This window comes from Homo sapiens, chromosome 11, assembly GCF_000001405.40.
Source record: "Homo sapiens chromosome 11, GRCh38.p14 Primary Assembly".
Taxonomy (NCBI): Eukaryota; Metazoa; Chordata; class Mammalia; order Primates; family Hominidae; genus Homo; species Homo sapiens.
The window spans coordinates 28,756,205-28,767,078 of NC_000011.10; the positions used below are offsets into that span (position 1 = coordinate 28,756,205).

Genomic DNA, 10,874 nt, shown 5'->3' on the forward strand with positions numbered 1-10,874 from the left:
AGACCGTCAGGCTAACATGGTGAAACCCCATCTCTACTGAAAACACACAAACAAATTAGCCGGGGTGTGGTGGCACGTGCCTGTAGTCCCAGCTACTCAGGAGGCTGAGGCAGGAGAATCACTTGAACCCAAGAGGCGGAGGTTGCAGTGAGCTGAGATCGCACCATTGCACTCCAGCCTGGATGACAGAGAGAGACTCTGTCTCAAAAAATAAATAAATAAATAAATAAAAATAAAAAAATTACCAGATATTTCTAAATTCAGGGAAAACCCCATTTGAATTTTTTAAAGTTGGTGCCAATTCCATCTGGTTTTAAAAGTGCCTTGAAAAACATCATACTGAAAACAAACATTGACAACTACTACTAACTCCTTTGAGAGACATATTGGAATGAGCAGATTGTCACCCTTTAAATGCTGAGCCTTTAAGTTAGGATGGAAGCCCTGCCTCACTTGCCCATCCTGTCTGTCACTGGTAGGGAATCAAATCACAGAAGCTGAACAACCAGAACCGAGTCTTCTAAGAGGCCCAGCTTGGCTTCTTGTTCTGTGCAGATGAGTAGAAGGTGGTAAAGAATATGAATGACAATTATTGGTTTGAATATTTTCCAAAGGTAGAATTTGCAAGGCTATTGAAATCCTGTTAGACAAGACTTATTGCCTATGCATTTACAAACTGTGCAATTTAAGATAGGTTAGAGTGAATGTTATGCTCAGAGCTGCTAACAAGGAGGCCTCTCACCAATAGGCACTGTACAATATTATGGTAATCTTTTTGGGGAGTTTGTGGTAGCCAGCCTTTTTGCTACACAGTAAGGATCCAACCTTATTCCAAGTTATCCCTCTTGTCCAAAGTAGGACCAATACTATTCATAGGCTATAAACTTCTTACTCATTCCATTTCTGTAATTATGTCAAGGGAAAGGAATTTTCTTCAATTGCCAAGTAAGGAAAAGTGGCAAGTAGTAGAGGTTAAGTTCAGGTCATTGTGATGGGTGAGAAATTTGGGCTGGAATGTGGTCTTCCCGATGTGCCAGTGTTCATAATTTTACACTCTTCAACCTACTACTCTCTGATGTGAGATGTTGATGACTTCAATATAGGAGAATCTATGGGACTTCTCCATAGCTTGTGAGATTAGAGCTTGTTCCTCTGTGAAGCAAACAGGGATTTCTGAACTTGGATACTTATCTTTCGAGATAAATGAATTTTCTGTTTATTTTTCTCTTTCTTCCAAAGCTGGAAGAAAGAACTTGTAAGAGATCACAGCAATATTCTCCAGTTATTTTCTTCTTACAATTTAGGAGGAGAGAAAAATGTATTTAGTCTATAGATAAAACCTGGTTTTGAGATACTCCATTTCTCATCTTTAAACCTGAGATAGTTCTTAATATTGGAGCACTCACTGTTTTCCCAGTTTTTGTATGAAATTATTCATATAATATTTACATTCTCATACAGTTTTATTTTGTTTTTGGTCTCTATTCCTTTCATTTTTGTTTTAACCTCAACATTAAGCCTTGCTTTTACTTACCGATATTAGTGACAGGTTCTGTAAGTTCAAGTGCAATATGTTGGGCATCACTGAAAGCAGCTCCATATCATACTGACCTTCCTGGAGAAGGTAAAGCACAACTCATTGGTTTAATCATTGCATTCCATAAAGGAAGATGTCACTTAGCCAGCTTTCCTTTCAGTGCCAGAAAATCAGCTCAAAGTATTTTTCTTCAGATAAGTGAGCATGCTTGTCATAGCTTACTTACGCCTGTTAAATCTTTATATGAAATATTTTACAGAGAAATATGTAAATATTTTGACTGCTTGTGCCATTCTTTTCAGACTACTTTGCAGATTACACATGGGTCTCTATATGAAACAAGAAGGAAAAGCAAGCAGAAATTTCTTAATGTAGCGTTTTTCATTAATGAAGACAGAAAGGCTAAAAGAAAAAAATGTTAAATGGAGTCTTAATGTAAATAGTCAAGAAGAGTGATATATACCCTATGGAATAGCCTCAAAGTGATATCAGTATGATGGAAATACATTATAAGGTTCTCATACAGCATATCTACTTACCTTTTCTTCTTGACAGCAGATAAGTAAACCACGGCTTAGGAGTAGATTTGCCAATGTATTTTACTGGAGACTTTTGTAGTAAGACTTTTTACTAGTTTGTTACAGCTTATGTGAACAAAATGTCTGTAAACCAGACTTTAATCTTAGAAATATATATATATTTTTACTACCTAGCGTCAGCAGATATTATATATTCTGAACACAGAGCAGAGAAAGTGAGGGAATTTTCCCCAGTCAGTTCTTATTTAATCCATAAAGCCAAGTCTTTGTGTAATTTCAGCTATTTAATTTTTGCTTTTTCATGATTGCCATTGAAAGAATAAGATAATGTTGATGACATTTGAAATATGTTAAGAGGACCAATATCAGCTGGGCACGGTGGCTCACGCCTGTAATCCCAGCACTTTGGGAGGCCGAAGTGGGCAGATCACCTGAGCTTGGGAGTTCAAGACCAGCCTGACCAACATGGAGAAACCCTGTCTCTACTAAAAATACAAAATTAGCCAGGCGTGATGGCATATGCCTGTAATCCCAGCTACTCGGGAGGCTAAGGCAGGAGAATCACTTGAACCCAGGAGGCAGAGATTGTGGTGAGCCAAGGTTGCAGTGAGCCAAGATCGCACCATTGCACTCCAGCCTGGGCAACATGAGCGAAACTACATCTCAAAAAAAAAAAAAAAAAAAAAAAAAGAGGCCCAATATCATGGTATAATTGTGCTGGTCTACTGTCTGAAATAACATGACTGTAGATGTTTTTATCAAATGACAAAATGATGACTGGTATTTATCATTTTATACCCTTCAGCCTACTACTTTCTGATGTCAAACATTGATGATTTCGGCACAGGAGAATCTTTTATATTTTTCAATGAAAAATGTTTTACTCAGTTTTTGTGGGTTGAAAATATAAGTGTATAATTTGGCTGAGAAAAACATTGCATCACTAACATTTGCTCATGACTGTGGAGCTAAACAAATTATCAGTCAAGATCTCTGGTTTGAAGCAACAGAACCTATCTCTGGCCTTAAGAAAAAGGAGATGCATTGGAAAGACATCAGTTTCCCAGAAGTGACAATTAACTTGGTAGTCTAAGGTTTAGAAAACCAAGAGTTGTAAATCAAGATAGCAGGAAATGTAGTCAAAATCATGCTGCAACAACTTTCTGATCCATGAACTCTGGCTATGGGATCATCTAACAACCCTCCCTCCCCCATTTCCTCATTCTTTGCATTACTTAAGATTCAGAGTTCCAGAACAAACACCTTATCAGCAAAGCCTAGCTTATTGGCCTGTTCTGTGGTATAGCCAGGTAGAGGAAGGTCCCAGCTGCTGTGGTTGAGAAAGGAATAGCAAAAGGAATCAAGAACTAGAAATCATCTTCCAACCACATTGGCACACAGTAAAGGACTAATAAAAATATTGGGAAGTGGATGATGGTAAGTTGGAAAGTGACAAATGTCTATTCCCCAAAAAATATTGTTTCGAAGTCATGGTGGGTTTTTAGACTAAACATTATCATTCAATAGCTGTGAGACCTTGGATAAGCCTGTTTTTGTTTGTTTTTTTTTTTTTTCTCAGTCTAAAATGACAAATTTGACTTATGGTAGGGATGGGAAGTAAGTGGCAATTACATTGCCATCCCTCTTTTTCCTATGCCAGACATTACTAATTGATCATTGTATTCTTCCATCCTGAGACCAGATATAACCTCAGAATCATTCTCAATATAGTACTCTGGCAGCAACTACCAAATTATTAGAGCTGATAAATAAGATAAAATCCCACAAACATCTCTGAACTAGAGGTTAATTACATTTCTTTAGAGTGTCAATGTTCTTTGAAGTTCCAGGACTAAGAAGTATTGTTAGTTAAATTATTTTAGAAAATTAGAAAGAACCTAGACCAGGCAGGAATAGACTCATAAAGTAGCTAATCCAGTAATGTCTGATTGAAGTGAAAGAAAATATTTTCAAACTTGACTAGCTTTCATTATGAATGTTGAGATGTTGAAGGAAAACTTTACTCCATTATGGAATGTGCTGTTTATCCTCTGCCTTAAGACCATAAAGATGATTCTTTGAACAAAAGAAAGATAGGACATTGGTCTGAGGTTTAAAACTATATATTATATTGCTGATGGTAAATAAATATATTATTACTGTAAACAAATTGCCATTCACCATGAATTATTTTGTTAATGGTAGAAGAATCACTATTTAAGTAGTCTTTTAAAGTTTGTAGAATGCAAGATCTAAAATGGCTCAAAAATCTACCCTAGAATTTACTAGTATATGTTATTAAACTTAATTACAGGTTCAGCTATTTTGTTCAGATACATATATTTATTACCTTTTTTATTTACTAATTCGAGTAATGAGTTACATCAATTTGTTTAATACAGTTGCTGCCTCGGGATCCATTTTTATGCCAGACATAGGTATTTGAAATTCAATTATACTCCATCACCTTTGGCCTAGTTAAAACTTTTCCTCTCTGTGTGGTTCTTTGCAATATAGCCCTCTGTTCATTTCACTGACCCAAAACCCAACAAATCCCAAAGCCGCTGACCACAATAAACCTAATGGTTAACACCTGACTCATATAAGTAACTTTCCCCCTTCGCATGTGTTTCCTTTAAACCAGTCAATTCAAAACCCCTGAGGAAAAGCAAAACAGATAATGCTCATGAAGCTTAATAAAAGCCTAGTCCTCTCTCTCCTACTTCTCTCCTGCTGGTTGAGAACGCTTGCTATCTCTGCGCTTCCTGTTGGCTGTTGTGAACATCCTTTTTTCTTGTGGATTTGTAAGTAATCAAATGCTTCTGTTATGTCATGTGTTTTGTTGTTCTGCCTCCTCTGTGTCTCACCTGACCAACATGCTCAAACGTAACACTCCTTTTGGTCAGGGCTCTCCTACAAAGTGGCTATCTTGGTAGAAATAAACTGGATACAGGCCAGAAAAGAGCCACAGAACATCTGCCAGTATAAACAAGTTTTCTGTGAGAGGCACACCTGGTCATGGGGTGGGCACTTAACCATTAGGCTGTCTGCCTGGATAAAGAATCATCCCGTGAAAGCATACCGTAAACATCCAAGACCACCTTTGCTGGAGTTCTAACAGAGCAGGGATAGAAAGAGGCTTCAAGACAGAATTAGAAGAAAATCACAACATGAAATATTTTGTATTTAGATTTTTTTTAACCTCTTGAGCTACTCAGACTGTATTGATTTGCAACTTAGGACAAGTGACAACAGACAGAATAATGATACCCAGGAATTACTAGCCTCCAATGGCAAGCAGCGTCTTTTCTCTACCCAGTAGATTCCACTTTCTTCCAGGTGGGCTGTGTTTGTGTTTATCCACACATCAAGGTTTTGGAATGGGAAAAACCTGTAGTATAGCCTTGAACCATGCTAGGGAAATATATATCTGTTTCAAGGGAAATTCTGGCATCAACAAATCACAAAAAAATTTTCATTTAGACAATTTTTGGACACTAGCTTTCCGTAGAGGACCTGGAACAAACTTAGTTTCAAAGGCCATCCTACCTCTGTGATACTTGCAGTAGAGTACAAAAAGGACCACGAATTCTTCTCATTCATGTATGCATGCCCGTTAACAATTCATCTTTGCAGTTTCTCCTTTAAAGGTAGATATGGGGTTTATTTCTCTACTCCTTGGATATGGGTTGGCCATCTGTCTTAGTTTGGTCAAAGGATTGTTAGCAAACGTGATGCAAGCAGACCCTTAAAACGTGTTTGCATTATGGGGCTTTTCTTCTTGCTGTTCTTGGAAACACTGAGACCACCACCATGTGGATTGGGCTGAGCTAGCCTTCTGGATAATGAAAGACACATGGCAAGATTTTCTCTCTCACTCTAGCTAGCATCCAGTCCATCACTAGCCATGTTAGTGAGGCCTTCCAACATCATTCAGGCCCATCTTAGCTGGCTCACTATGAACTGCACAATTAACTCTCAAAAGAATAAGAAATAATAAATCTTTGTTGTTTTAAGACACTAAGTCTGGAGGTAAATTTTATAGCTCCAGTTGTTCCTTTTTGTCTCCATATTATTCAAGCAGGATGGGTTTGCTTACCCTCATAGGCATGGTACAGAGATAATCTTTAGAAACTTTTTGGGTCTTCCCACTGATTGGCAATCAATAGAATGCATCCTTAGATGTACTGGAAAAAACTAGTGATGCCTTTTCCATATTTTTTATTTAAAATAAAACTGGACTTTTGGGTTTTCATTATTTCAGTTTATGGCATTATTATTTTAAACAAACACACTATATATTGGAGTTCTTTTTCAGGACAAGCAATGATACAGGCCAAAGCACTTTATGCAGTGAAAGCTTCATAACTTCAGTTATTCCAAATGATTGCAGAAAAGTAATTTCTCAGCTTTTTCAGGGTTAATTTGCCACATGAATTTAGTGTGGCATTGAAGAGTAAAAAAGGCAAAAGACGAAGATTGTCTCAAAGAGAGGAAAAGAGCCTCCATAATACTTAAGCTACCCAATACCTTTCTCAGAGGAAGCTAAACTTATTTATAGAGTTTATAAAGTCATTTGTTTGAGATATTTTGCATAGATCCTAACATTCCAAGCTGTATCTTATCCTGTGTCCCAGGTCCGGTTGATTAATGCCATCTCTCCTCTGTCCTCAGGCTATTTCTAATACATTAGTCTTTTTTCCCTGGAAATTGTTGTCCTCACATGCAGAGTTCTTTCCAGAATTTTTATGTTGTAACTGTTTAAATTGATCCCTTTTAAAAGTTAGCTACTTAGTTTATACACACACACACACACACACACACACACACACACACACAAACTATATATGTCATACTTCTCTGTTTCTCTTTGTGCTTTAGAAATGGTTTTCTGGTGGAACATTGGCTAAAGACATGTTTGGGAAAAATGACAAAACAAAGCATAGTAATCTATGGTTGGAGAGATAGTGCCTAAATTATATATTATATTTGCATTTACAAAAATGCTTTTGGTTTTATCATGTTTCAGTAATGTGATCATCCTTTGGGGCGTGCAAATATGCTGCTTATGCAGTTCTGAAATCTTAAGTCTGGGATTATGATGCCAATTATTACATATTAGGAACTATGGAGAAGTTGACAGAAAGTGCTAGTTTTATGACTAGACATATAGTAATATTGATGCTGCATTCTTTAAAGTTAAAATACCCAGACTCAATGTAGAACCAGTGTTCCCTGCAAAAGTGAGAGTAAGGTCACAGTAGTGCCTATGGCAGTTGGTTTTGAGGAATTACTGGTAAGAATTCTTTTTGCTTGAAAAATTCAATTGATCAATAACAAGACTCACACAAAAAAGTTTCATAACTTTTGGTCCAACATCTTTTGGAAGTGACATATAATATGCAATGTTTTCTTTATAAGTCAGTAGGGTTTGTGAATGCATTTATTCTGGATAATTCAAGTTCTCTTCACACTTTTTTTCCTCCAAATTGTTTCCTCCACAATGAGTATACTGAGCATGTATTGGAACATCCACTGGTTAACTTTGAACAAGGTCTTGTAAAATCCATTGACTTCTGAAATAGGGGCAGCAGGAAGCAGAGGTATCTCACAGAAATATATTTTCCAAACTCCTTTCCAGTTGGGACTGGCTGTAACAATAGAAAACAGCACCAGGTGAAAGATATTCTGTTAACAGTGGATAATGCAAATTGTAACTTGTAATTAGTAACTTGGAATCCCTTTTGCTTTGTCAGAGGGACAACAGGCAAAAAAGAATGAGACATCTGAGATTGGAATGAAATGGACCACAGCTGATTGTAATAAGATGATAGGATCTGTGAAAAAAATAACTGTTTCTGCCTGTTGCTGAAAAGAGACTTAAAACCCGGGTTTTAGCACTGTGTGCTTTCTTTTCAATATCTAGGAAAACCTTGTTAAAAAATCAAGCAAGAATCTTGACTGTGCCTGATGTAGTAGGACAGAATCAATTTTCCTTGTCCCTAATTTTTTTTTCAGAAGTCAATGGGGACAAACTTGGCTTTCAACATGATTTGTAACCTCCCAGTGGGATGTTTGCTTATAGGTATCCTTAACTGCATACAACCCAAATCAGTCTTTTATCATCATTAAGCCTCTCCAGTGCTTATATGGGAATTATGAGAATATGAGCTGCCCTGGAAGGATCTTGCAGACAGAGCCAAAGTGCAGAATCACCTTCTCCCCAACCAACTGTCCTATAGGCAATCATTCTATTTCATTAGCTCCTGCAATTATAACAATGCCAAAAAGGAATTGGTTTTATATTTTATTTCTTCTTTGATCCATTGATTGTTCCATAGTTTATTTTTCACATATTTGTAAATTTTCCAGTTTTTCTCCTGATAATATCTGGTATACCAATACCAATGAGCATACCAATGTGGTTGGAAAAGATACTTGAGATGACTTCAGTCTTCTAAAATTTATTAAGACTGGTTTTGTGGATTATCATATGATATATTCTAGAGAATGTTCTGTGTGCACTTGAGAAAGTTTGTTCTGCTCTTAGATGGTATGCTCTGCACGTGTCTGTTAGGTCCATTTTGTCTGAAGTATAGTTCAAATCCAGTGTGTCTTTATTGATTTTCATATGGATGATCTCTCTGTAATTAAAACTGGGTTATTGAAGAAACCTGTTATATTGCTGTCTGTTTCTCCCTTTTATGTTAATATTTGCTTTATATATTTAGGTACACTGATGTTGAGTGCAAATATATTTATCATTACTATATCCTATTGATGTATTGAAGCCTTTATCATATAATCTTCCTTGTGAGTTTTTGACTGAAAGTCTATTTTATCTTACACAGGTATAGCCACCTGCTGTGGTTTAAATGTTTGGCCCCTCCAAAATTTGAAATTTAATTGCCACTGTGAAAGTATTGAGGTAGAACTTTTAAGAGGTGCTTAGGTCATGAGGGCTCCACTCTTAGGAATAAACTAATGTCATCAATGCAGGAGTGGGTTTGCACCTCTTGATTTCTCTGTTGCCCTCTTTGCCCTTCTACAATGTAATTATTTCCTCCATGTTATAAGACAGCAGAAGGCCTTCACCAGATGCTGGCACGTTGATGTGGGACTTCCTAGCCTGTGAGAACTGTTAGAAACAAACTTCTGCTCATTATAAATTACCTTGTCTGTGGTATTCTGGTAGAGAAGCAAAAAATGGATTAAGGCAGAAAAATGGTAGTAGAGAAATAGGGATGTTACAAATAGCTAGAAATGCAAATGTAGCTTTGGAACTGGGTAGTGGGTAGAGGCTGAAATAATTTTGAAGTGAATGCTGGAGAAAGCCTAGGCATTCATGAGTGAAGCATTAAGGTAAATTCTGGGGGCAGAGCAAGATGGTCAAATAGAAGCTTCCACTGATTGTCCTTCCACAGGAACACCAAACTGAACAACCATCCACACAAAAAAGTACCTTCATAAGAATCCAAAATCAGATGAGCAATCAGTACCTGGTTTTAACTTTATATAACTAAATGATGCACTGAAGAGAGTAGGAAAGACAGTCTTGAATTGACACCACCCTTCCCCCATCCCCTAGCAGCACCATGTGGTGCAGAGAGAGATTCTGTGCATTTGGGAGAGGGAGAGCTCAGTGATTGTAACACTTTGTATTGAAACTCAGTGCTGCCTTGTCACAACAGAAAGCAGCATGGGGAAGAACTCACCTGGCACCCAAGGAGGGAGCATTTAGAACAACCAGAGGAAAATTGCCATTTCCAGGGGTTGGAACCTAAGTTCTGACAAGTCTAGTCTCTGCAGGCTAAAGTGCTCTGGGGTCCTAAATAAACTTAAAAGGCAGGTTAGACCAGAAGGACTACAATTCCTAGGTAAGTCCTAGTGCTATGCTGGACCTAGAGCCAGTGGACATGGGTGGCATGTGACCTAGTGAAACACCAGCTAGGGTGACCAAGGAAATACTTGTGGCACCTCTCTCCCAACCCCAGGCAGTGTACCTCACAGTTCTGGGAGGTACTTCACAGCTCTACCTGCCTTCCTTCCTCTTAAGAAGAGGAGAGGGGACAGTAAAGAGGACTTCATCTTGGAATTTGCATACCAGCTCAGCCACAGCAGGATAGGACACTAGGCGTACTCCTGAGACACTCATTCCAGGCCCTAGCTGCTGGGTTATATTTCTAGACAAACTCTGGGCTAGAAGGGAAACTGCTGTCTTGAAAACAAGGACCCAGTCCTGGAAGAACTCATTCCCTGCTGGCTGTAGAACCCTTAGGCCTTGAAAAACCATCAGAAGTACCCAGGCAGTACTTGCCACAGGCTGTGAGTGAGACTTAGAGTCATGCTGGCTCAGATATGACCCAGCACATTCCCAGCTGTGATGGCCATGATGAGAGACTCCTTATGCTTGAGACAGAGAGAGAAAAAAATAGAGAGGACTTTGCCTTACAGCTCAGGTACTAGCTTGGCCACAGTGGGGTAGAACACTAAGTAGGTTCCTGGGGTGCCCTATTCCAGGTCTTGGCACTTGGAGGATGTTTCTGGACCTGCCCTGGCCCAGAGGGGAGCCCAGTGCTTTTAAGAAAGAGTCCTAGGCCTGTCGGTAATCACTGCAAGCTGTCTGAAGAGTCCTTGGGTCTTGAGTGGACATTGGTGGTAGCCAGGCAGTATTCCCCATGGACCTGTGGTGGTGGTGGCCATGGGGAAAGACTCCTCTGCCTGTGGAAATAAAAGAGAAAATTGGGAACCATTTTGTCTTGTGGCTTGGGTTCCAGCTCAGCCACAGTAAAATAGAG

At 38.4% G+C, this 10,874-nt stretch overlaps 1 annotated feature.

Annotated features, from left to right (window-relative positions):
- Positions 10,134 to 10,635: an enhancer, noted in NCBI's record as "H3K27ac hESC enhancer chr11:28787885-28788386 (GRCh37/hg19 assembly coordinates)". NCBI's record gives its function as "activates a minimal SCP1, AML or CMV promoter by ChIP-STARR-seq in naive H9 embryonic stem cells {active_cell/tissue: H9 hESC(naive)}" and the evidence as "EXISTENCE:reporter gene assay evidence [ECO:0000049][PMID:30033119]".